The sequence below is a fragment of the Homo sapiens genome, chromosome X, assembly GCF_000001405.40.
Source record: "Homo sapiens chromosome X, GRCh38.p14 Primary Assembly".
Taxonomy (NCBI): domain Eukaryota; kingdom Metazoa; phylum Chordata; class Mammalia; order Primates; family Hominidae; genus Homo; species Homo sapiens.
The window spans coordinates 150,900,299-150,926,831 of NC_000023.11; the positions used below are offsets into that span (position 1 = coordinate 150,900,299).

General features: G+C 45.5%; 1 long non-coding RNA gene and 1 pseudogene across 1 annotated transcript, besides 4 other annotated features; both read left to right on the forward strand.

The window, feature by feature from the left end:
* Positions 1,531–2,217: an enhancer, noted in NCBI's record as "OCT4-NANOG-H3K27ac hESC enhancer chrX:150070302-150070988 (GRCh37/hg19 assembly coordinates)". NCBI's record gives its function as "activates a minimal SCP1, AML or CMV promoter by ChIP-STARR-seq in primed H9 embryonic stem cells {active_cell/tissue: H9 hESC(primed)}" and the evidence as "EXISTENCE:reporter gene assay evidence [ECO:0000049][PMID:30033119]".
* On the forward strand, positions 1,823–1,937 carry LOC124905297 (uncharacterized; annotated as a pseudogene).
* Positions 2,218–2,902: an enhancer, noted in NCBI's record as "OCT4-NANOG-H3K27ac hESC enhancer chrX:150070989-150071673 (GRCh37/hg19 assembly coordinates)". NCBI's record gives its function as "activates a minimal SCP1, AML or CMV promoter by ChIP-STARR-seq in naive and primed H9 embryonic stem cells {active_cell/tissue: H9 hESC(naive and primed)}" and the evidence as "EXISTENCE:reporter gene assay evidence [ECO:0000049][PMID:30033119]".
* Positions 2,903–3,588: an enhancer, noted in NCBI's record as "NANOG-H3K27ac-H3K4me1 hESC enhancer chrX:150071674-150072359 (GRCh37/hg19 assembly coordinates)". NCBI's record gives its function as "activates a minimal SCP1, AML or CMV promoter by ChIP-STARR-seq in naive and primed H9 embryonic stem cells {active_cell/tissue: H9 hESC(naive and primed)}" and the evidence as "EXISTENCE:reporter gene assay evidence [ECO:0000049][PMID:30033119]".
* LINC02927 (long intergenic non-protein coding RNA 2927) lies at positions 16,904–20,640 on the forward strand. Its single transcript, NR_186570.1, has 3 exons — positions 16,904–16,985; positions 19,471–19,638; positions 20,488–20,640. It is a non-coding gene; the product is annotated as a long intergenic non-protein coding RNA 2927 (long non-coding RNA).
* Positions 24,989–25,823: an enhancer, noted in NCBI's record as "H3K27ac hESC enhancer chrX:150093760-150094594 (GRCh37/hg19 assembly coordinates)". NCBI's record gives its function as "activates a minimal SCP1, AML or CMV promoter by ChIP-STARR-seq in naive H9 embryonic stem cells {active_cell/tissue: H9 hESC(naive)}" and the evidence as "EXISTENCE:reporter gene assay evidence [ECO:0000049][PMID:30033119]".

A 26,533-nucleotide genomic window follows, 5' to 3' on the forward strand; every position in this document is an offset into this window, starting at 1 on the left:
TAAGGATTAAATGAGGTGGTGAAAAGTGGACAGCCTGCACACAGTGACAGAGGGCAGGGACCATTACTGGTTAATCTAGTAACGGCTAAGGAAATAGTGGCCACTGTGAGGTCAGGAGGTTACTGTCTATTCCAGGCTGTGGACATGCCCCCACCTTTGCTACTAAGTGCCCTGAGCCATTCCATAGGCCCTGGTGGTACCATCTGTACCTGGAGGGCAGTAGATTTTCTGGTCTTTAGGAGTCTTCCAGGATCTGATGGGTAAACCCTGATGCATACACACTCATCTACACTGAGGAGGTGAGAAGCATGTAACCTCTTAAGTTTGAGGCCATGTCAATCAATATGCAGTGGACAGTCACACTCAACTGGAACTCTAGCTGCTAAAGGTGCTACAATGCCATATGCAATAAGACTGTCTTCTAGCTCAAGAATAGTTCTCAAACTACACCCCGTGGGCTAAATCCTACTCCCACCTGTTTGTTCAGCCTTCCAGCTAAAAGTAGTGGTTGCATTTTTAAATGGTTGAAAAAAATCAAAAGAATGTTATGACATGAGAAAGTGATACAACATTCAAATTTCAGGGTTCATGAAGTTTATGAGAACACAGCCACGCCCATTGATTTTTGTATTCCCTATGGTGGCTTTTGTGCTGCCACAGTGGAGTTGAACAGTTGTGATAGAGACCATGGGGCACACAAAGCCTAAAATATTTACTGTCTAACCCTTACAGAAAAAGTTTACTGACCTCCGTTCTAGCAGATTGAACCATGGCAAGGATGAACATTAGCAGGTGATGATATGGGACCTTAAGAGTGTGCTCCTCTAAAGCGCAAAATGAACATAGATGACCTGCTCTGACACAGGAATAAGAACCAAAAGAAAAGGACAATGTTTATCATTGTGGCCAAAAGATACTCACAAATAGTTCCTTAATCAAAATATTGCAAATGTCCGAGATGGATTATCCTACCAGATACCTCTCCCTTTGTAAAATAGCTTATCTTGGGCCTGGTTTGTCTCTCAGTCTCTTGTAAGTTAGGTTAATGTGAGTTAGAGAGGGCTGATTTGCCTGCCAGACTGAAGACCTGCTGGGAACTTAGTGAGCCTCTCAGTCAGGTACTGCTATCCTGCTGAATTGCAATTAAACATGCAGTTGATTTACATACAGGAAATTGTACACTTAAAAACTATGATCTGGGAGCACCTCCCCAACTTAGTTTGGAAGTGTATTTCCCAGGAGAAAAAAAATTATTATTAAAAAAATTTTTTCAAAGCCATTATCTGTGCTCCCCGCCCCCACACATCATCTATACTCCCCACTGCCAATGCACATGGGTTCAGGGACCCACTCTTGCCCAAGCCTGCCTCGTCTACACACCACTCCCTTGTTCCCACCCTCTTGCTACACCTAGTTCCTCCCTGAACTTCTCATACCCTGAAAACTGCCATCAATTGGAAAACCATTTGGCCTGACAAGATTCTCTCCTAAAAATGTCCACCTTTCCCAAGCTGTGGCCAGTGTGGCATGGATAAACAGCCACCAGGGTGGCCTGGGAAAACAGGAGAGGCACACATATAGGGCTGGGTGGGTTTACACCAATCTCAGGTAAATAGGATTATGTGGGCCAGCTAGGTATCCATGGGTCATGGGTTTGCATACAGGAAATTGTGCACTTAAAAACCATGATCTGGGAGCACCTCCCCAACTTAGTTTGGAAGTGTATTTCCCAGGAGAAAAAAAATATTATTATTAAAAAAAAATTTTTCAAAGCCATTATCCGTGCTCCCCGCCCCCACACATGGTATATACTTTGGGGACAAAGACTATACTTTCAGGAATTGTTTCTGTAGTACATTACTAGAGAATGTCCTCTGAATGTGCAGAGCACAGAAAAATACAAAATAATAATAAATTCCAAATCAGCTATCTGAGTACCTGGGTGGCCTCCCTCACCCATGATCAAAATCAGCTGTGGAAGGGCCTTGCCACCACCCCCACCACTGCTGAAGATGCCCATCAGGAGAGCACCACTGTCCATGCTGACAGCACCCCTTCCTGAATACCCACCCCGCCATTGATCCTTAGGGACCAGAGCCGAGAGGGAGTCCACATGGGAATGAGGGCAGGGACCAAAGGCTTTGCCCCAACTCAAGGTCACCTTCTGTGCCCTGGGACCCAAAGCAGCTCTGCTGGTGCTCAGGGCTTCGTCTACCCTCCCACAGCCTTGGAGCTTAATCCCTCTAACCAAACCTGTTGGAGGGCCCTGGCTGGGTACAAAGGGACAGCACACCCTCCCTTCCCACCTCACTCCCCACTGTGCGGGGCAATTAAGAGACAAAGACTCACTTGCATCTCAATGGGCATGCAAACAGCCCTGGCTGGCTGGGGGGAGGGGCGCATGGGGCTCTACAGCAATTTTCCCAAATGCCTGACTTCACAGTCAAGTTTCACCAGTCCCAGGAGAAATACAAAAAAATGAGGTTGTCGTGGCAAGTTTCCCCCCATAAAGCTAGAGTATTGACCTTTATCTTGAAATCATGAACTTGTTTTGGTATACAAAAGTCCTTTTATTTCATGAAAAGATGGTAGTGTTTTGTTTAATATGCTTACTTTGCAAAATAAGAAGTTGGCAACCCTACCCGTCCCCAAACTGAAAAAAGAAAAGAAATCTACTCATTGGTGAAGTTCACAAGTCTGGGAACCGCTGGCTATCCCAATAATATTCAGCCCACCGAGGCCCAGATACATAGGAATTTTTGGAACACACCCCATATGTAAACAGAAGCCCTGAAAATGCATTCTAAAACAATGTTTCCTCTGATATTTTTTGAGTCGTAAGCACATTATCCCTTAGTCTCCTCCGCCTCTCCACAGCCTTCTTATTCTCTCCTCTCTTGGATTTTACAGTATGGCAAGGACAGGCAGGGCTTTGAATGCCATGCTAATGAGCAAAGATTTGGTTCTGAAAACAGAGGAGGAGCCACTGAACGCTTTTAAGCATGAAGCAGCAGCGACAGGGAACTGGTCTACAGGAGTGCTACTGGCATCATGTAGGGAGAGAGGCTGGGGACTGTGGGGCTGGAGAGAGGAGTTTGGATTCCTGGTGTGGACGTGGTGGAGGTAGCAATTGCCATAGAAAAGAGGGCCTGGGTATGTAGGCCTGGCCCAATTCTCAGGGCTGGGAAGAAAAGGAAGTCCAAGGGCGGAGACAGATGATAGGCAATTATTACTCTGTGTGATGCAGGTGGTTAAAGAGTTGAGCACACAGTGTGATGGGAACACGGAGGTGCAGCCCCTCTCCCAGTGCATGGTCAGTGTAGAGCTGACTCAAAGAAATAATGGTTTGGCCTGCAGACGGCAGGGTGTTCTGAGAGAACCGCTGAAATGAGAGGAAGGGCAACACGTCGAATCGAATTGGCTGGAACCAGGTCACACAGGACTTGCAGACCGGGTGAAGATCGGACTGTACTCAAAGGCAACCATGAACCCCCAGGAGTGTTAAGTGGGGATGGGGTGGTACTGCCGGGTGATAAGATCAGATTGACGTTCCATGATTTCATTTATCCATGGAGTCTCAGGACTCTGTTGTACAGAACCCAGAAAATGCTGCTCTAGGTGACAGGAGCCATTAGAGTGAAAAGCTGGGGAGAGTGGAGAAGAGACAGAGGTGGGGAAGGAGAGGGAGGAGGCAGTGCAGAAGTCCCGGGAATGCTTTGGCTGGGCTCAGGAGGAAGGGCGAGGTGGCGTGGAGACTCTCCTGCTCTGCCTGCTTGTCCCAGAAACAGCCCAGTGTGGTGGGTCAGGAGCAGCGGCTTCACAGACAGCAGGGTCATCTTCCATTGCCATGTTTCTGCAGAGCAGCACCCCCTACCACCACCACCACCACCAATCACTCCTGTCTTACATGCAGCAGAGTTGCTCACTCCCAAAGGGGACCCTCTGTAATGTAATGCAACAAATTTCAATGAGATAGGAATCATCTCATCTTTTTTGATTCCTGTTAGGATTCCCATTGGTGGTTTGAGGAATTTTCTTAACACACCAACGACCACACGATAGTGATGATATTGGCAATTATGGCCATGGTGACTATGATCCCAAAAGAAAAGAAGACGATGCCAAAGGCCGGTGGGTCACGACTTCGTTTTAAGGCTCATTATCACGGGAAGGCGTCCTCTTCCTTGGAAATCTAAATGCAGAACACCCAGCCATCTTCAGGAAGCCTGTGTGTGCCAAGTCAGGCAGGGCAAAACCTTATACCTGCATGTTTTCCTAATGTGAGAGACTGCTCTGTAAATTTCTTTCTAGTGCTCAGTCGAGTTAATATGGAATTTGCATAAGCACTTGGCAAGAAATAACGTATGTCTCTGTAATATTTCCGAGGCAGTATTTTCTCCTCCAAACCCTGACCTCTGTAGGAACGGGACTTAACATTTGCCTCCCAAATGCAGAGTAGGGCTGTATTTAACTTACCCAGTGAAGTCTCCCCTAAGCACTCAGGGGACTCAAACCACAGAAACCAACATTTGGTCTCTTTGAATTAAGTCTTTTCATATAATTGAAGCAGCCCAAGAAACCTCCCAGAAAATGTTTCGGAACACAAATGTGGAATGGGGCATCCAATTAACAGCAATAACATTTTGTTCAAAAATAACTTTTGCAGACATATTGCGATGTCCAAAACAGAACTGCCCATTGCTGGCCTCCAAACCACTCTGCTCCTCCCACAAGTGTTCTCCTATCTTAGTAAATGGCACCACCAATCTCCCAGTTGCTAGGGCCTAAACCTTGGAGGCAGAAGTTCCCCCCTCCCCTGGTCTCACTCACTCCATTACCAAATCCTGAGAACTGTGTCTCCTAAAGTCTTGAATGTGTACACTCATCCCTGCCCTGAATAACTGCACAACAGCCTCCTCCAGCCCGTTTTTTTTACCCAGCAACCACGGGAAGCTTCTTAAAAAGTAAATCAGATCATGTTGTTCCCTTGCTTAAAACCCTCTAGTCTCATGTCCCAGGCCTTCCATCTCACTCACAGTAAATCCAAATTTCTGTTCATGGTCTACACAGCCCCACATGATCTGATCAGGCCCCTGCCTCCCTATTTAATTCTTCAACTCATTCCAGCTTCCCTTCTACACTGCCTCCCGCCCCACAACCGTCACCTCCCTGACCCCACCACTCCACCTGTCTGGAATAACTTCCCTTCCTTCCTTCACCTGGCCGTTCCCAGTTTATCCCTCATGCCATAAAAGAACATACTGTTCCCAGCCTAGGAAAGGCTCAGGACCCATGCCTTCTACCCTCACAGACCCTATGCTGAGTCCACCTTAACACTGAGCTTTGAATCCAGATGTGAGTTCAACTTGCTTTGCAATTTGCTGTCTCCTCACACTGGTCCTGTTTCTCAACCCTAGCAGCATGACAGAATCTTTGAGGAAGCTTTTTTTTTTTTTTTTTTCATTTAAATTGAGGTAAAATTCATATAATATAAAATTAACCTTTAAATGTGTACAATTTAGTGGCATTTACTACATTTGCAATATTGTGCAACTATCACCTCCATCTAGTTCTAGAACATTCCCATCACCCCAAAAGGAAATCCCAGACGCATTAAGCAGTCACTCCCCATTAGCCCTCCCCCAGCCCCGGGCAACCACTAATCTTTCTGTCTTTATGGATTTTGCCTATTGTGGACATTTTGTATAAATGGAACCATACACTATGTGGCCTTTTGTGTCTGGCTTCTTTTGCTGAGCGTAATGTTTTTGAGGCTCGTTCATGTTCTACTATGTATCAGAATTTCATGTCTTTTATGGCTGAATACTATTCAATTGTATAATAATACCACATTTTGTTGATCCATTCATCAGTAGACAGATATTTGGGTTGTTTCCAATTTGGGGCTATTGTGAGCAATGCTGCTATGAACACGGATGTACATACAAGCTTTTTGGTGGACATGTGTTTTTATTTCTCTCGGGTATACACATGAATTGCTGGGTATCAGGGAAGCTTTGAAAACCACGTTTGCCAGGGCTCTACTCTCCAAGTTTTCAATGTACTTGGCCTGAGGTAGGATAAGGCATTCCTATCCATCTAAAAGCTGAGACCATGGCTGGGCAAACTAAGGCCAGTGGGCCAAGTCCCGCCCACTGCCTGTTTTCATGTGACCCCTAAACAAAGAACGGTTGAGAAAAATAAAAACGAAGAATATTTTGTGACACATGAAAATGATGTGACATTTACTTTTTAGTATTTAAGTTGAGAGGCCAAGGTGGGAGGATCACTTGAGCCCAAGAATTCCACACCAGCCTAGGCAACATAGCAAGATCTCATCTCTACAAAAAATAAAAAGTTAGCCAGGCATGGTGGTGTGCACCTGTAGCCCCAGCTACTTGGGAGGCTGAGGCAGGAGAATGACTTGAGCCCCGGAGGTCAAGACTGCAGGGAGCCACGATCACGCCACTACACTCCAGGCTGGACAGCAGAGTGAGACCCTGTAACCAAAAAACAAAAAAACAAAACAAAAAAGTTTCAGTATCCGTAGAGTGTTATTGGCACGCAGTCACACCCACTTGTTTACATACTGTCTATAACTGCTTGTGTGCTACCAGGTCAGAGTCGAGGAGAGGCAACAGATTGTATGGCCCTCAAAGCTGAATATTCACTATCTGGTCCTTTACAGAAAAAGTTTGCTGGCCCCTACCTTTGTCCACTCTCAGTCCTCTTGTTACTAGATCTTTCAGCAGTGGTGGGCATGGTTGATCACTCTCTACTGCCTGAAATACTTTCTTCAACTTGACTGCTGGAAACCCACTCTTTTCCAGGGCTGCCTCTCTGGAGCTTGGGGAAGTACTACTGGGGGTGGATCTGTGGGTTCCAGTGTTCAGCAGCTAAGGCACTTTCCCTCTCTCATTTGGATGTCAGTGGGACAGGGGAGGTATTAGTAGATCACTTCGTGGCTGTGGGCAAGTCACTCTTCTTCCCTGGGGCTTGTTTTTTTTTAAATTCTGTAAACTGAGTTGGTTGGATAAGACTATCTCTAAGGTTTCAAGCTCTCTGATGATCACAGTATCGAGCACTGCCACCTGCATTACCTTGTCAAATCCTCCCGGCAACCCACGGAGGATGGCACCATTTCTATCATTACTGCAATCTTACAGATGCAGTAATATTCAGAGAAGGAAACTGACTTTAGCCAGGTCACCTGGCAAGTCAGCGGCCAACCCCGGGCTCAAACTAATGTCCAGCCAACCCCACTCTCTCTAATAGAAAGACAGATGTGCCAGGCACCTGCTGTTTAAGCCAACAAGACCTCAGAGAACTTGTGGGGCTGGGGAGGGCACACTGGCAGGTGATGGCTGGGTCTGCTTTGTGTCATGGATGTAGGCAGCAGTGAGTGAGACCCGAGAAGCCCTGGGCAATGTGCCCAACACTGTGATAAACACTTGACAAATCTCATACTTAATAATTTCAATACTTCGGCCAGGCATAGTGGCTCACGCCTGTAATCTCAGTATTTTGGGCGGCTGAGGTGGGTGGATCATCTGAGATCAGGAGTTCGAGACCAGCCTGACCAACATGGCGAAACCCTGTCTCTACTAATAATACAAAAATTAGCCAGGCATGGTGGTGGGCGCCTGTAATCCCAATTACTCAGGAGGCTGAGGCAGGAGAATCGCTTGAATCCAGGAGGCGGAGGTTGCAGTGAGCCTAGATCGCGCCATTGCACTCCAGCCTGGGTGACAGAGTGAGACGCTGTCTCAAAAATAATAATAATAATAATTGCAATACTTCATGAGGGCGTATATTAGTTTCCTATGGTTGCTGCAACAAATTACCACAAATGTGGAGGCTTAAAACAACAGAAATTTATTCTCTCACAGTTTTGGAGGCTGAAAGTCCAAAATCAAAGTGTCACCAGGACCATGCTTCCTCTAGGGTAGAATCCTTCCTTGCCTCCTCCAGCTTCTGCTGTCAGGCAGTCCTTGGCATGTCCACCCTTGTAGCTGCATCACTCCAATCTCTGCCTCTGTCTTCACTTGGCCTTCTTATAAAGTCACCAGGACCCATGCTAAATCGAGTATGATCTCATTTCAAGATTTTTAATTACATCAGCAAAGATCCTGTCTCCAAATAAGGTCACATTCTGAGGTTCCTGATGGACATGAATTTTAGGGGACACTATTCAACCCACTCCAGGGGGCAATACTATTCCCAGTCTACAGATGAAAAAGCTGAGGCCCACTCTCATGCCATGAGACCAGTGTCCCCCTTAACTAGTTCTTTAGTGACTTTGGAACCAATGCCTAGTACTGGATCATTTCAACCCCTTACTTCTCATAAGACAGAAAAAAAAAAAAAAGAGGATGTACAAAAAACCCACATTAACCTTATCTTACACTGTATACAAAATGGAATTCAAAATAGATCAAAGACCTGAACTTAAGAGCTAAAACCATAAAACTCTTAGAATAAAATATTGAGGAAAATCTTTATGACATTGGATTTAACAACAAGCTTATAGATATGACACTAAAAAAGTACAAGCAAGAAAGGAAAAAAAAATAGATAAATTAGATTTCATCAAAATTGAAAATTTTTGTACATCAAAGATACTGTTGTTAGGTGTGGTGGCTTGTACCTATAATCCCAGCTACTTAAGAGGCTGAGGCAGGAGGGTTGCTTGAGGCCAGAAGTTCAAGATGAGCCTGGACAACATAGCGAGACTCCATTCCTAAAAATAATTTAAAAAATTAGTTGAGTGTTGCAGTGTGCACCTGTAGTCTCAGTGTATTATGCTGTTCTTGTATTACTATAAAGGAATACCTGAGACTGGGTAATTTATAAAGACAAGAACTTTAATTGGTTCATGGCTCTGCAGGCTGTACAAGCATGGCACCGACATCTGCTTGGCTTCTTCTGAGGGCCTCAGGAAGCTTACAGTCATGGCATAAGGCAGAGCAGGAGCAGGCATCTCACAGGATGAGAAGGAGGTGAGGGGGAGGTACCAGACTTTTCAACAACCAGATTTTGTGTGAACTGAGCAAGAGCTCACTTATCACCAAGGGGATAGTGCTAAGTCATCTATGAGGATCTGTCCCCACGATCAAATCACCTTCCACCAGGACCCACCTTCAACATTGGGCGTCACATTTCAGTATGAGATTTGGAAGGAACAAACATCTAAAGCATATCACCTAGCTACTCAGGAGGCTGAGATAGGAGGATAGCCTGAGCCCAGGAGTTCAAGGCTGTAGTGAGCCATGATTGCACCACTGCAATCCAGCCTGGGCAACAAAGCGAGACCCTGTTTTTATTTTTTATCTCTAAAAAATAAAAATTAAATTAAATTTAATTTAATTTAAAAGGGTGCTATCAAGGATGTTATCAACAGAGTGAAAAGGCAACAAACTACAGAATGGGAGAAAATATTTGCAAATCATATATTTGATAAGGGATTAATATGAAGAACTTCTATAACTCAACAATGAAAAATTCCAATTAAAAAATGGACAGGCTGGGCACAGTGGCTCATGCCTGTAATCTCAGCACTTTGGGAGGCCAAAGTGGGAGGATTACTTGAGGCCAGGAGTTCAAGACCAGCCTGGGCAACATAGTGAGACCCTGTCTCCACAAAAAAATTTAAAAAGGGACAAAGGACTGGAATAGACATTTCTTCCAAGAAGACATATAAATGGCCAACAAGCACATGAAAAGATGGTCAACATAACTAATCATGAGGGAAGTGCAAATCAAAACCACAGTCAGATACTACTTCACACCTACTGGAATGGCTATGATTTTTTTTTCTTTTATCATTTTTTTGAGACAGAGTCTTGCTGTTCTCACCCAGGCTAGAGTGTAGTGGCACAATCTCGGCTCACTGCAACGTCTGCCTCCCAGGTTCAAGGGGTTCTCCTGCCTCAGCCTCCCAAGTAGCTGGGATTATAGGAGCCCACTACCACGCCCAGCTTTTTTTTTTTTTTAAGTAGAAATGGAGTTTCACCATGTTGGTCAGGCTGGTCTCGAACCCCTGACCTCAGGGAATCCAAACCCCCTTGGCCTCCCAAAGTTCTGGGATTACAAGCGTGAGCCACCATGCCCGGCCGTGGGATGGCTATAATTTTAAAAGAAATGGAAAATAACAAGAGTTGGCAAGAATGTGGAGGAGTTTGAACCCTCATGCATTTCTGGTGGGAATGTAAAGTGGTACAGCTGCTATAGAAAACAACATGGTGGTTTATCAAAGAATTAAACAATTACTAGCAATGCCTCTTCTGTGTATATAACCAAAATAATTGAAAGCAGGGCATGTTCATAGCAGCATTATTTACAATAGCCAAAAGGTGAAAACAACTCCAGTATCCATTGACAGGTGAATGGATAAACAAAATGTGGTATATACACACAATAAAATATTATTCAGCCATGAAAAGGAAAGAAATTTTGATATATGCTACAACATAAATGAACCCTGAAAACATGCTTAGTGAAATAAGCCAGACACTTAAGGACAAGTATTGTATGATTCCACTTATACGAGATACTCAGAATGGGCAAATTCTTAGAGACAGAAAGTAGAATAAAGGTTATTGTGAGATGGGAGGAAGGGGGAAGAACTTATTATTTAATGAGTATAAGGTTTATGTTGGGGATGATAATAAAAGTTTTGGATAAAGATAGTGGTTATGAGTATACAACATTGAGGATTTAATTAATGCCACTGAACTGTATACTTACGGATGATTAAAATGATAAATATTATGCTATGTATATTTTACCACATTAAAAAAAAAACTGTTAAAAAATGTTACCTCCTAAGGCATGCATTTTAGAAAAGAAAATGGAAGGCTGCCCTCCCCAGATTCAGGGCAGTCGGGTAGAATCTTCGTTTTCACCACTTGCTTGGCCCATAGCACATCTCCTGTGCCTCGCCCTGCCTCTGGTGAATGCCTCTGGAATGCACTGGAAGGACTTTGGGGGCCAGCCTCACTGGTGACAGGCTCCCTGAAACCTCTCTTCACAGTCTCCCTTGAATCTGGCTTTCACACTTTTCTTTATGCATAGGCAGAGTCCTAAAGAGAAAGAGATTCCCGCACACCTGTCCATCTCCGTTTATTTCTTCTCATTCATTCACTCATATATTTATTTATTTATTGAGACAGGATCTTGCTGTGGTCCAGGCTGGACTGCAGTGGTGTGGTCATGGCCCACTGCAGCCTTGACCTCCTGGGCTCAATTGATTTTCCTACCTCAGCCTCCAGGGTAGCTGGGACTAGAGGCACACGCCACCAAGCCCAGCTATGTTGCCCAGGCTGGTCTCAAACTATTGGGCTCAAGTGATCCTCCTGCCTCGCCGTCCCCAAGTGCTGGGATTACAGGCATGAGCTACCATGTCCAGCCTATTTATTATTATTATTATTATTATTATTATTATTATTATTATTATTATTATTTTTAGAGACAGGGTCTTGCTCTGTCATCCAGGCTGGAGTGCAGTGGCATGATCATAGCTCACTGCAGCCTCAAACTCCTAGGCTCAAGCTATCCTTGTGTCTAAGCCTCCTGAGTAGCTGGTAGTAAGGCGCGTGCCACCACGCCTGGCTCTTCTAGCTCTATCGTCCTCTATATCCAGCCCATTTCTGATCTCAGGTCTCCACTTCCTGACACTTCTTTTTGGCCCCCGTCCAGATATAACAAGACCTTGAGGGTGACATTTGCCATCTTGTACGTTCGTGCACTCTGTGGCTGGTCTCTGTTAGAGCCCCAGAATTGCTCACTTGCGTGTCTGTCATCAGAAGGCAGATTGATTTCCCCTGCTGGCTCAGTGGTACCTCGCCCTTTAGAGTGTCCATCACCTTGATCCTTTCCTTTTTTGATATAATATCCCCTATCTCCCCATTGCCTACAGGATCAGGCAACATGCCTTGGCCTGGCATTCAATGCCGAGCTTTTCCTACCTCAGTACATCTGGCCTAATAGGTGACCTCACTGTTTTCTGAGTGGGCTTCATGCCTTTCTGCCTTCTTGCCTTTGCTATGTGGTTTCCATTGCCTGTTGCACTGTCTCTTAAGCCTTTGCATTCTGGCACCCAAATGCGAATGTCCCCTGAGCCCTGGATCAAGATGCACCTCTTTCTTGAAGCCTTTGGAGGACAAATGTAGTAAGGAATCATCTGTGATCTCCTTGTGTGAGCATTTCTATTTTCTATTATTTTTCAAATATACCTTGATGTTGAATTTATCTCAAGAGGAAGATTCTGGAAGTCAGGGACACATCGTACCTTGCGTTTCTCTCTGGGAGCCATGCATATGATTGGTGCAAAATAAACATTGTCCAAGTTGGCTTCGTGGAGAGGAGAATATTTGGTGCTCCTGGCACAGGGATCTCTCTTTCCTCTGTCACCTCCACTCTTTCCATCAGAGTCCAGCATGCCGGGTGGCCCTGGGCCCAGAGTAAGGGGGAGTGAGCAGTGCCCTGTCCCTCACCCCCTGTCCTCATCACCTGTGGGGATTTTCCTTTAGAAACTCTGACTTTTCAATTTTTCCAAGACTATCTTTCTGCAGTGAAAGATTGGGAGAGAACTAAGTGAAAGTATTCCACTTGGGGATCTGCTCACTGTCTGCTTACTGTGTCTTTTTGGGCCCTCCCTGCTTCATTGCCGCCACCACCTCCACCTGGCTCCTGCTGTCTCCATCTCGAATGGGAATTACTGGACCCTTGTCCAGCTGCTCCCTGGTCCCACTGCCTTCATTGCTGCACCCACCAACCCAGGCTCCACATGGCAATCAGAATGGTCATCCTAAAATAGATTTCTTCTTTTCACGCCCCAGCTCATAAATGGCAACTCATCTTCAAAATAAAACCAAGCTACTGAGTGTTGGCATCCAGGCACCCCAAGTCTCAGCCTTTGGCATGCCTCCTACACCTCTGATACTGCATTTATGGTACAAACTTGTTCATTTCCAAAATGCAGCGGGTGCATTGATGTCTCTAACACTCAATCTGGGCAATTCTCCCCTCCTGGACACCTCCCCCGCCCCTATCTCTGACCACTCACAACAAATCCTGAAAGATTTGTCTCCTCTCCAAAGCCTTGTCTCCCCAGGTCTCTCTCACTTTTGGACCCAGCCCCAGTATGAAACCAGTAAATACTCTCTAAAGTGAAGCAATTAGTTCACAATGAGATCCCACTTCACAGCCACCAGGGAGGCTGTAATCAAAAAGGCAGATACTAACCAGCATTGGTGAGGATGTGGAAAATCATACAGTGCTGATAGGAGTGTAAAATGGTGCAACTACCATGGAAAACAATTTGGGAGTTCTTCAACAAGTTAACTATAGAGTTACCATATGACTCAGCAATTCCACGGCTAAGTATATACCCAAGAGAATTGAAAGCACATGTTCAGGCCGGGGGCAGTGGCTCACGCCTGTAATCCTAGCACTTTTTTTTTCTTTTTTTTGAGACAGAGTCTTGCTCTGTTGCCCAAGCTGGAGTGCAGTGGCGCCATCTCAGCTCACTGCAACCTCGGCCTCCGGGGTTCAAGCGATTCTCCAGCCTCAGCCTCATGAGTAGCTGGGATTACAGCGTGCACCACAACGCCCAGCTAATTTTTTGTATTTTTAGTAGAGAGGGGGTTTTGCCATTTTGGCCAGACTGGTCTTGAACTTCTGACCTCAAGTGGTCTGCCCACCTTGGCCTCCCAAACTGCTGGGATTACAGGTGTGAGTCACCACACTCGGCCTAATCCTAGCATTTTGAGAGGCCAAGGCAGGTGGATTGCTTGAGCCTAGGAGTTCAAGACCAGCCTGGGTAACATGGCAACATCCTGTCTCTACAAAACATATGAAAAATTAGCTGAGTGTGGTGGTGTGCGCCTGTGGTCCTAGCTACTTGGGAGGCTGAGGTAGGAGGATCACCTGAGCCTGGGAGGTTGAGGCTACAGTGAGGGGTGACAAAGTAAAACCCTGTCTAAAAAAAAAAAAGGAAAGAAAGAAAGAAAAAAGCAAGCACATATCCACACAATGACTTGTACATGAATGTTCACAGCAACTTTATTCTTAATAGCCAAAGTGGAAATAACTCAAATATCCATCAATGGATGAATAATCAAAATATGGTCTACTCATAAAATGCAATATTATTCAACCGTAAAAAAATAAAGTATGGATACATGCTATAAAATCAATTAACATTGAAAACATGATGCTAAGTGAAAGAAGCCAGACAGAAAAGACCACATATTATATGATTCTGTTTATACAAAATGTCCGGAATAGACAAATCCATAGAGACAGAAAGTAGATAAGTGGTTGCCTAGGGCTAGCGGGAGGAGGTTGGTAGTTGATGGCAAAGAGGAGCAGGATTTCTTTGGCGAGTGAAGAAAATGTTTTGGAATTAGATGGTGATGGTTGTACAACCTTGTAAATATACTGAAAACCACTGAATTGTATATTTTAAAAGAGTGAATGGCCGGGTATGGTGGCACACACCTGTAATCCCAGCACTTTGGGAGGCCAAGGCAGGAGACCTGCTTGAGGCTAAGGAGTTCAAGACCAGCCTGGGCAACATAGTGAGACCTCCATCTGTACAAAAAAAAAATTAAAAGTTTGCCAGGCATGGTGGCTCATGCCTGTAGTCCCAGCTACTTAGGAAACTGAGGTGGGAGGATTGCTTGAGCCCAGGAGTTTGAGGCTACAGTGAGCCATGATTACACTACTGCAGTGCACCCTGGGCAACAGAGTGAGATCGTGTCTCAAAAAAAAAAAAAATATATATATATATATATATATGTGAATGAATTATATGATATGTGAATTATATCTCAATAAAGCTCAGTACCAGACACTGAGCAAGTATTTTACAGGCATTAGCTCCTCAATTCTCATAAAACCCTATGAGATAGTGTTATGGACTGAATGCTTGTGTCCCCCCACCAAATTCCTATGTTGAAACCCTAACCCCCACCAGGCGTGGTGGCTCACGTCTGTAATCCGAGCACTTTGGGAGGCTGAGTCGGGCAGGTCACGAGGTCAAGAGTTTGAGACCAGCCTGACCAACATGGTGAAACCCTGTCTCTTCTAAAAATACAAAAATTAACTGGGCGTGGTGGCGCAAGCCTATAATCCCAGCTACTCAGGAGGCTGAGGCAGGAGAATCACTTGAACCCAGGAGGCAGATGTTGCAGTGAGCCAAGATCACACCACTGCACTCCAACCTGGGCAACAGAGTGAGACTCCATCTAAAAAAAAACAAAAAAACTAAAAACAAAACAAAACAAAAAACCCCTAACTCCCAATGTGATGGTATTAGGAGGTGGGGCCTCTGAGAGGAAATTAGTTCATGAAGGTGGGGCTCCCTTGATGGGACTGGTGCCCTTATAAGAATAAAAAACACTAGTGTTCTCTCTCTCTTGCTGACATGTGAGGATACAGCAAGAAGATGGCCATCTGCAAGCCAGAAAGAGACCTCTCACCAGAAACCGAATCTGCCACCACCCTGATCTTGGACTTCCCGGCCTCCAAAACTGTGTGAGATCGCTGTTGTTTAAGCAACCCAATCTATGATATCTTATTATAGCAGCCTTAGTGGACTAAGACAGATCGGTGCTATTTTAATATCTATTTTACAGCTGGGGAAACTGAGGCACAGTTAAGTAGCTTGCTCAAGGTCACTCAGCTGGTGAGTGGCAGCACCAGGATGTGAACCCAGGAAGCCTGGCTTACATACCCCTGTTCTTAACTGCCTCTCTGGTAGACAGATGTGTGCTACAGGGCTTACAGTCAGAAAAGGGAGAATGGGTTCCTCATTCACTCTGCTTCAGAAAAAGGGTTCAAGGAGTCCCCAACTCCCAACAGCTGTGTTGTCCTGGGGAGTCCTGGCAGAATGTGTCTAAGGAGCTATTCGCCAGGTCTCTACCATATCTATAAGCAGGCAAAGCTCCCCAGATCCTTTATACAATGGCCAGGTCAGTGGGAAGGGGGTCTTCTGCCTTTATCCAGAGGATCTTTACAGGGTGGGTTTTTGCGTCCTCCACCCTGCCTTAGCCTTGAAATCAAGGCTGGTAGACCAAGCCAACCCAACAGGGCTGCTTATTGTTCTGGGGCTCCATTCAAGAGGACCAGTAGAGAGCCAGGATGAGTATCCCTGACCTTTAGCTTTCCTGATGCCAGGGCAGGACCTCTGCTTCTATGTATTACAGGACCTTGCATTTGTGGACCCAAGGCATAGGGAAGGGGGTTCCTGAAGCCAGTATTGGGGCCTGGTATTGCTTATTGCTAATGACAGACTACGGGCACGCAGTCATTCATTCAGTATATAGAAGGTGTCATCCAGCCATAGATGTAGAGAGCATGGACTCTGGAGCCAGCCAGGCTGTTTAAAGTTGGGCAAGTCACCTTGCCTCTCTGGTCCTCAGTGTCCTGATCTACAAAATGGGCAAAATAATGGCACTTACATCTTAAGGCTTTTGTGTAGAGGAAACACATTGATACACATGGAAAGTGCACAGAACAGTGCCTGGCACATAGTAAGCTCTCAACAAGCGATATCCTTTCGTATTGTTTTGTTTTAACTGTTATTATGTTGGCTAAGTAGGTGGGAAGAGAAGGAGGCACAATAAGAGACATCTGGGTTATTACTATGGTTTCAGGACTTTTACTCTCCAAAACCCGTGTTGAAATATAATCCCCAGTGTGGCAGCATTGAGAGGTGGGGCCTTTAAGAGATGATTGTGTCATGAGGGCTCTGCCCTCATGAGTGGACTAATCCATTCATGGTTTAATGGATTAATGGGTTATCACAGGAGTGGAACTGGTGGCTTTATAAGAAAAGGAAGAGAGACCTGAGTGAGCATGCTCAGCCCCCTCGACATGTGATGTCCTTTGCCACCTCAGTACTCTGCAGAATCCCCGCCGGCAAGAAGTCCCTGACCAGATGCAGCCCCTCAACCTTGGACGTTTCAGCCTCCACAACTGTAAGAAATAAATTCCTTTTCCTTATAAATTACCCAGTTTGGGGTATTCTGTTATAAACAACAGAAAACGGGCTAAGAGAGTTAGAGATGCTTCCTGAATCACAACAGAAAGTTCTGTACATCTTTTATCCCTATACCCTCTGAGGAGCTTATTCTGCTCTAGACGGACAGAGGTGATATCCCACTCATCTCCTGGTCAGCTCACAGTGCCTGGATGCATGTCATGTTCTGGGTACCAGTAGCCTCTCTGAGAGACATTAACAGGCTGGATTTGCTTCAGGAGCCAGTGATCAGGATGTTAAAGGGAAGTTAGAATTTTCTTTTCTTTTCTTTTCTTTCTTTTTCTTTTTTTTTTTTTTTTTGAGATAGAGTCTCTCTCTGTCACCCAGGCCGGACTGCAGTGGTGTGATCTTGGCTCACTGCAACCTCTGCCACCCAGGTTCAAGCGATTTTCCTGCCTCAGCCTCCCGAGTAACTGGGACTACAGGCATGCACCACCACGTCCAGTTAATTTTTGCGTTTTTAGTAGAGATGTGGTTTCATCATGTTGGCCAGGCTGGTCTTGAACTCCTGACCTCTAGCAATCTGCCCGCCTTGGCCTCCCAAAGTGCTAGGATTACAGGTGTGAGCCACTGCACCTGACCTATGGAAGTCGGAATTTTCATACAATGAATAATCTTGGTGAGTGTTTGGACCGGAGAAAAAGATGACTGTAAGGGGTAAAAAGGAAAGGAGTGATGAGGGAGACTCCTGGAGGGAGCTCCTGGGGAATTTGATCTGTATTCTGTGGCCTCAGCTTATGAAAATAAGGATAAAGGGGAAAAGCTACAGGGTGATGGACTCTGGAACTTTCTTGTTTTAAAAGAGACAGAGTCTCACCCTGTCACCCAGGCTGGAGTGTAGTGGTATGATCATAGCTCACTGTAGACACAAACTTTCGGACTCAGGTAATCCTCCTGCCTTAGCCCCCCAAGTAGCTAGAACGATAGATACATGCCACCCCACCCAGCTAATTTTTTTAATTTTTATTTTTGTAGAGATGAGTCTTACTATGTTGCCCAGGCTGGTCTCTAACTGCTGGCCTCAAGTGATCCTCCCCGCCTTGGCCTTCCAAAGTGCTGGGATTAGAGGCATGAGCCACCATGCCTGCCTGGCTGGATTCGGGAACTTCCTAAGGGGCAGAACAACCTCAAGATGGAGGAGCTGCCTCTGTAGGAAGGGAGTTCCCATTCTTCAAGATATCCAGCCTAGTCTCCCTTTGAGGTCCTTTTCAACCTAGAGGCCCCATGACTCTCCTCCCGCATGAGGGTTGAGCCAGGATAATATGGAAAGTCTGGGTTCCAAAACTGCTAGAGAAAAGCAAAAAGAGGTTTGGCAGGTCCTTTGGTTAGCCCCACATTTGAGACACACCTCTGAGGCTCTGCCACGTCCCACCCATGGCTGAACGGAATCATACACAGATTTTTCTGCCCACCTTTCCACACTCACCCTGTGATCCAGAGCTCAGAGAGTGAGACTGAGAGAGCTCATGCCAGGAGCTTTTAGTTGTCAAGAAAAGGAGTCATCGTGTCTTTAGAAACAGGATGAATGCGGAAAGCATACACACTGAAACGATTTCTAAGATTCTATATAGATCAAGGCCAGGGTCTAGCTGCTGAATTGGGGCCTAGCCTATCCTTTCCAGACAACACAATTCTAAAGTGCATTTCTCTCTTTTTTTTTAAAATTTATTATTATTATACTTTAAGTTTTAGGGTACATGTGTAAAGTGCATTTCTCAACACACCCCTTCATCTCTTGAAAATGAAATGCTGCCGGCCGCGGTGGCTCACGCCTGTAATGCCAGCACTTTGGGAGGCTGAGGTGGGCGGATCACGAGGTCAGGAGTTCGAGACCAGTCTGACGAACACAGGGAAACCCCTTCTCTGCTAAAAATACAAAACAAAATTAGCCGGGTTTGGTGGCGGGCACCTGTAATTCCAGCTACTCAAGAGGCTGAGGCAAGAGAATCACTTGAACCCAGGAGGCGGAGGTTGCAGTGAGCTGAGATAGCGCCACTGTACTCAAGCCTGGGCAATAGAGCGAGACTCTGTCTCAAAGAAAAAAAAAAAGAAAAGAAACAAGAAAAAGAAAATGAAATGTAATCCATGTCCTTGCAGGTTCTTCATCAGATCTGCATTGAGAGCTACATGAGAGGCTTTCCAAGCACAGCACAATAGAGCAGGGGCCTCCCTCAGTGTAATCTGCTTCAGCCCCCATGTTTAAAGAGGAAGGGACTGAGGCCCAGAAATGGGGAACAACTTGTCCAAGGTCACACAGGAAGGCAGTGGCAACATAAACCAGGCCTTGTGCCTTCACATGGGCTCAGTGCCATTGCAGCATTGCAGGCAGTGTGACTTACCCTGCTGTGGCTTTTCAGTGGCCCCCTGGGGGCCACACCTGCCACCCTGTTCTCCCTGCTAAAAGGTCTTTTCCTTTGTACCAGGTACTTCTGTCAAGTCCAAATCAAGCAGAATGGGTTCCAACCAGCAGCAGGGTTTTCACTTGTAAGCAAACCACAGAAGGGATCAGCCACCAACCCAACAGATGAACAACTTGACTTGCTTTCCAATGGAGCCCAGCATTTGAAGCTGTGATAATTGTCAGTTTAAATGTTAGTAAGTGAATGCTTGTAATTTACAAGTGAAGCTGCTTCTCTTATCAAGGGTCCCATTTCCTGTGGGCTGTTTGGAAGTATAAACTGTTATCAGAGGATTTGTGCTTATTTGAGGCTTGGCTTGCCCATCTGGTCAGAGAGAGAAAGTCTGGAGAGTATGCTGAGTCTAATTCTGCTGTACCCCATGACGAGCCTGTCCTGTTCAACATTCCACTTGCGGTCCATGAATCAAGCGCTATTCATGGGCACAGAACAGAATGAACCAACCTAAACCATTTCGCTTGCTTGACATTCTCTAAATCCCACTCCCCCCTTTAAACGCACAAGCTCAGGGCCTGTTTCAAAGGGCAAATATTGTGAAAATGAAGAAATTATTACAGATTATACTTGGAAAGAGTTCAAATGTTGTTGAAATACCGTGATCTGTAGGTGGCATGTCTTCAAAGAGATTCATTTGAATAGATCAGGCTGAGGAACAGTCAATAGCAAAATAGTTATTTGTGTATCAAGTATGGACAAATTCTCACATACCAGGAGGCTGCGAGACAGCACTTTCACAAGCTGATTTTAGATTTTGGCCCAACAGCTCTAAAGGCAAAGGCTTTCTAGGCTAAAGGGATGATTAGAAAGATAATAGACAAAGTCAACTCCAGATGTACCAGTTGACCACCCCTCTGCCAACTGAAACCCTACTCTTGGGTTGATTTCACAGCTCAGGAGGGGAGCTCAAACTCAAACTTGTCAATTTTGTGACTCAATAACAGACCCACTTTGGGGTGGGAGAAAAATGGAAGTATGAGCTAAAAAGGAGATTCTTTCAATTGCCTTTGCCCTTCTGTTTTCTAGGCTGTCTATGTCCTCCAACAGCTCAGAGACTCAGAGTTGATGCGCTGGATTCTACTGCAAGTTGCGTCTTGATAAACATAGTTACTATGTGAGCCAGCAAATTCCATTTCTAGATATATACCCAAGAGAAATAAAAACTCATGTTCACAGGAATGCTTGTACACAAATGATCATAGCAGCATCATTCATAATAGCCAAAGTGGGAGCAAACCAAATGTCCATCAAGCAATGGATGGATAAACAAAATGTGATCCAGTCATACAATGGAATATTATTCAGCCATTAAAAGAAATGAAATACTGATCTGTGCTCAAACATGGATGGACCTTGAAAACATTAGGCTAAATGGAAAATGCCAGACACAGAAGATAGGACACATAATCAGACACATGTTGTATGATTCCATTTATATGAAATGTACAGAATGGGCAAATCCACAGAGACAGAAAGCAGATGAATGGTTTCCAGGGGCTGGGGGGAGAGGGATGAAGAATGACTCCTTAATGGGTGCAGGGTTTCTTGTAGGGTGAAGAAAATATTCTAAAATTGATTTTATAATGGTGATTGCCCAACTCTGTGAATGTACTAGAAACCACAGGTAGTACATTTTAAAATGGTTAAGTGGTAAATGTCTTTTTTAAACATTTTATTATCACTATATATATCATAAAAGTTATTATTTTGACCACTATTAAGTATGCAATTCATTGACATTAAGTACATTTACAATATTGTGCAACTGTCACCACCATCCATCTCCAGAACTTTCTCATCATCCTAAACTGCAACTCCATACCCATTAAATACTTGCTATTACTCCCTCCCTTCCCCCAGCCCCTGGAGATTTGTTTTGTTTTGTTTTGTTTTGAGATGGCATCTCAGTCTGTCACCCAGGTTGGAGTGCAGCAGTGCAACCTCAGCTCACTGCAACCTCTGCCTCCAGGGTTCAAGCAATTCTCCTGCCTCAGCCTCCCGAGTAGCTGGGATTACAGGTATGCGCCATCACACCCAGCTAATTTTTGTATTTTTAGTAGAGATGGGTTTTTGCCATGTTGGCCAGGCTGGTCTCGAACTCCTGACCTCAGGCAAGCTGCCCGCCTTGGCCTCCCAAAAAAAAAAAGTGCTGGGATTACAGGCGTGAGTCACCGCCCCCAGACCCCACTGGAGATTTCTAATCTATTTGCTCTCAATGATTTTGACTATTCTAGGTACTTTATATAAGTGGAATCAAACAATATTTGGCCTTTTGTGTCCGGTTTATTTCACTTAGCATAATGTTTTCAAAGTTCATTTGTCGGCCAAGTGTGGTGGGTCACGCCTGTAACCCCAGCACTTTAGGAGGCTGAGGCAAGTGGATCACTTGAGCTCAGGAGTTTGAGACCAGACTGGGCAATATGGCGAAATCTCATCTCTACAAAAACAAACAAATGGACAAAAAATTACCCGGATATGATGGCATGCACCTGTAGTCCCACCTACTTGGGAGGCTGAGATGGGGGGATTGCTTCAACCTGGGACGTCAAGGCTACAGTGAGCAGAGATGGCACCACTGTACTCCAGCATGGGTGACAGAGCAAGACCCTGTCTTTTTTTTTCTTTTTTTAAGAGGGAGTCTCACTCTGTTGCCAGGCTGAAGTGCAGTGGCATGATCTCGGCTCACTGCAACCTCCGCCTCCCGGGTTCAAGCGATTCTCCTGCCTCAGCCTCCCGAGTAGCTGTGACTACAAGTGCACACCACCACACCCAGCTAATTTTTGTATTTTTAGTAGAGATGGGGTTTCACCATGTTGGCCAGGATGCTCTCGATCTCTTGACTTCGAGACCTGCCCGCCTCAGCCTCCCACCGTGCTGGGATTACAGGCGTGAGCCACCACACCTGACTCCAAGACCCTGTCTTAAAAACAAAATAAAATAAAAACAAAAACAAAAAACAAAGTTCATTCATGTTGTAGAATGGATTAAAATGTTAAATTTTATATTATGTGAGTTTTATCTCAATTTTAAAATGATTGGCTGGGCACAATGGCTCACGCCTGTAATCACAGCACTTTGAGAGGCTGAGGTGGGCAGATTGCTTAAGCTCAGGAGTTCAAGGCCAGCCTGGGCAACATAGTTAGACCTCATCTCTACAACAACAACAACAAAATACAAAAATTAGCCAGGCATGGTGGTGCCACCGTACTCCAGCCTGGGTGACAGAGACCCAGTCTCAAAAAAAAAAAAATATACACACACACACACACACACACACACACACACACACATATATGCACATACACGTCTATATACATACATATATATATATATATATATATATATATATATATATATATATATATATATATATATATATTGCATCCAGGCTGGGGCTTATGCCTGTAATCCCGGAACTTTGAGAGGTCCAAGCAAGAGGATCACTTGAGCTCAGGAGTTCAACACCAGCCTGGGCAACGTAGCAAGACCCTACCTCTACAAAAAATTAGCTGGGCAGGGTGACACACACCTATAGTCCTAGCTACTCGGGAGACTGAGGGTGGAGGATTGCTTAAGCCTGGGAGGTAGAAGCTGCAGTGAGTAATGATGGCACCACTGCACTCCAGCCTTGGCAACAAAGCAAGACCTTGTCTCAAAAATACATATATATACTGCACCCTGATGTGAGGTTTCCCTGTGTGTTAGGAACAGACACCTCTTAAATAAGCTTGGTGTCAGGGCATAGGGCCCAAACAACTCCCACGGCCCCCTTGGGCTGTATGTAGCCATACATACATGAATTCCTTCGTGAATGCATTTGAAACCTCTGTGCAGTTGCTGGGGTCACAGATGCATACACCACCCAGTCCCAACCCTGAGGGAATGGCATAGGTCAGGCAGGCCTTCAAAGTGAATAACAGATACACAGAAGTGCAAGGACAGACAAGGAAAGAATTGCTTTTGGAGGGGGTGGTGAGGGAAATTGTCCTAGAGGAAGTGGCCCTTGGGAAGCTGCACAGAGAGAAGAATGAACATGAGTTCTGGTGTCAGAGATATTTAAACTCACATTCTTTCTTGGTACTAGTTTCCTTTGGCCATTGTAACAAACTGCTACAAACGTAGTGGCCTAGGATAACACACATTAATTCTCTTCCAGTTCTGAAAGTTAGAAGCCCAGAATTGGTCTCACTGGGCTAAAATCAATGCACGGGCAGGGCTGCAGGCCGCCTAGAGACTCTAGGAGAGAATCTGTTTCTGTGCCTTTTCCAACTTCTAGAGGTTGGCTGCATTCCTTGGCTCATGGCCCCTTCCTTGCAGCACTCCAAGCTCTTGCTTCTATTCTCACATCTTCTCTTTTGTGTCTAATCTCTCTGTGCCCCACTTTTATAAGGGACACTTGTGATTGCATTTAGAGTTGACCTGGATAATCCAAGATACTCTCCCCATCTCAAGACCCTTAACTCAATCACATCTGACAGTTACTTTTGGCATATAAGGTAACACTTACAGGTTCTGGGGCTTAGGACATGGACATCTTTGGGGATCAGTATTGAGCCGACCACAGACTTGATCACTTACTCACTAGGTGGCTGTGAACAAATCTCCTTCCATCTCAGTGCTTTAGTTTTCATATCTGGAGGAAAACAGGACTAGCCTTTCCTACTTTGTAGGGCTGTTGAGATGACTAAAGGAAATACTGTATGTGCTTTAGCCAGCCTGACGCCCAGCAGGCACAAACTATCTCCTCACTGCTCTTGAATAAGTGAAGCCTTGAAAGCTGAGTGCATTTGGAGGATTTCAGAAGAGAATGTAGGCATTCCAGGCTGAGAGACTGCCATCAACGAAGGCACAAAAGGCCGGGCGCAGTGGCTCATGCTTGTTATCCCAGCACTTTGGGAGGCAAAGGCAGGAGGATTGCCTAAGCCCAGGAGTTTGAGACCAGCCTAGGCAACATGGCAAGACCCCATTCTGTATTTAAAACAAACAAAGGCACCAAGGTAGCATGGTTTGTTTCAGGAGACAAAAGTAATCCAGAGAGGAGGGAGTAAAAGCTGTAGGTAGAGAAAGGAGGTATTGTTGAAGATGGGGCTGACCCATCTACAGGGCCTGATCAAGTGGGGACCATAGAACTTGATCCTGCTGTCAGCCATGGGGAGCCACTGAAGGGCTTATCAGGGTGTGATGTAGGGAGACATGGGCATTGGGAAGTTCATTCTGGGGCAGTGAGGGGTCAGGAGGGTTGTCAGGGGGACCAGTTGGCAGGCTGGCATGCCACTATGCCCTTGGAAGAAATTTAGGCATTGAGACAGGGCATTCCTTGGGGTAGCAGATGTGGTTCACTCTGCTGCGTCTGTAATGGGCTCTACCATACATATGAAGGCTGGAAAGTGCCATGATACATCAGTAAGCAAAAGCAGGTGACCTATTAACAAGAAGCAGTAATCAGGGAATATGGTGCTGACCTGAGGTCCAGGTGTCCACAAGACCAGTGGTTGGTGGCTGCTGTTGATCTCAGGAGCGGTGCTCCCTGTTTACCTTAGCACAATGGGAACTGGTGTCATTGTAATTCAGACCAGCAGTAAAAGAGCCTCTTGAGGGATCCTGAAGCCTTTCTCATTGCCATTTGGGGCAGAAGGTTTGGGTTGGTCAATGTAGATTCCAAACCCACAGGCAGACAGTTTCCCCTCTACTCCTGTGAGAAGTTGAATAATGGCCTGCAAAGATGGCCATGTCCTGATTCTCAGAGCTTGTGAATGCGATCTTATATGGCAAAAAAGACTTTGCAGATGGGATTTAGTTAAGGATCTTGACACGGGGAGATTATCTTGGATTATCTGGATGGGCCCTAAATAAAATCACAAGTGTTCTCATAAGAGAGAGACAGAGGGGGCCAGGCTCGGTGGCTCATGCCTGTAATCCCAGCACTTTGAGGCAGAGGTGGGTGGATCACAAGGTCAGGAGTTCCAGACCAGCCTGGCCAACATGGTGAAACCCCATCTCTATTAAAAATACAAAAATTAGCCAGGCTTGGTGGTGCACGCCTGTAATCCCAGCTACTCAGGAGGCTGAGGAAGGAGAATTGCTTGAATTCGGGAGGCGGAGGTTGCAGTGAGCCGAGATCGTGCCACTGCACTCCAGCCTGGGCAACAGAGTGAGACTCCGTCCCCCCGCCCCCCCCCAAAAAGGAGAGAGAGAGAGAGAGAGAGAGAGAGACAGAGGGACATTGCACACAGAGGAGAAGGGCCATGTGACCACTGAAGCATGATGCTCTGCTGCTGGCTTTGCAGATGGAGGAAGGGCCCATGAGCCAAGGAATGCCAAGAATGCAGCCGTAGATGCTGAAAAAACCAGGAAAATGGATTATACTCTAGAGCCTCCTGAGGGTGGGCAGCCCAGCATACACCTTGGTTTGGAGCCAGTGAAACTGATTTGGATTCTGACTTCCAGAAACGTAAGAGAATAAATATGTGTTTTTTTAAGCCACCAAGTTGTTAGTAATCTGTTATAACAACTGTAGGGAACAAATAAAACATTCCTGATGTGATCGGCTTCAAAAAGGCACTGCAATCAGAGGTATGCACTCAGGAACAGGGCATTTGGTGTCCATTTGCTCCTTGCTAAAGACAGTTTCCACTGGTCTGACTGAGCTGTGTTATGTGCAATGCCCTGCCTGCTCTGGAACTTGCTGGAATGTTCCATGGAATAATAGGAGGCATGCAGAGGGCCACACTGTTCAGTCCTGGCAGACCAGTTTGCCCAGTATAGAGGATCCTGCTCCCTTAGCCTAGAGCTGTGGGCAGAGCTTGCCTCTGCCTGGGCATCTGAAAGGGCAGAACATGGTTAAAAGGGGTATATGTTCATTATCTTAACAAATCTACTCTGCAGGGTCTACTCCAAGAAATGATTGAAACTTCCGGATTTAGTGATTTAATTCAAGTACTTATCTGTTCTTCAGTTATTTTCAAACAAGTCCTGCTAATTTAGAGGAACCTCGGAGTGTTGGGTGAAAAATTTAAGTGAGACCTCAAGGGAAGTGGAATCACAAGAAATAAAAAGAATTCCAGGGGAACCC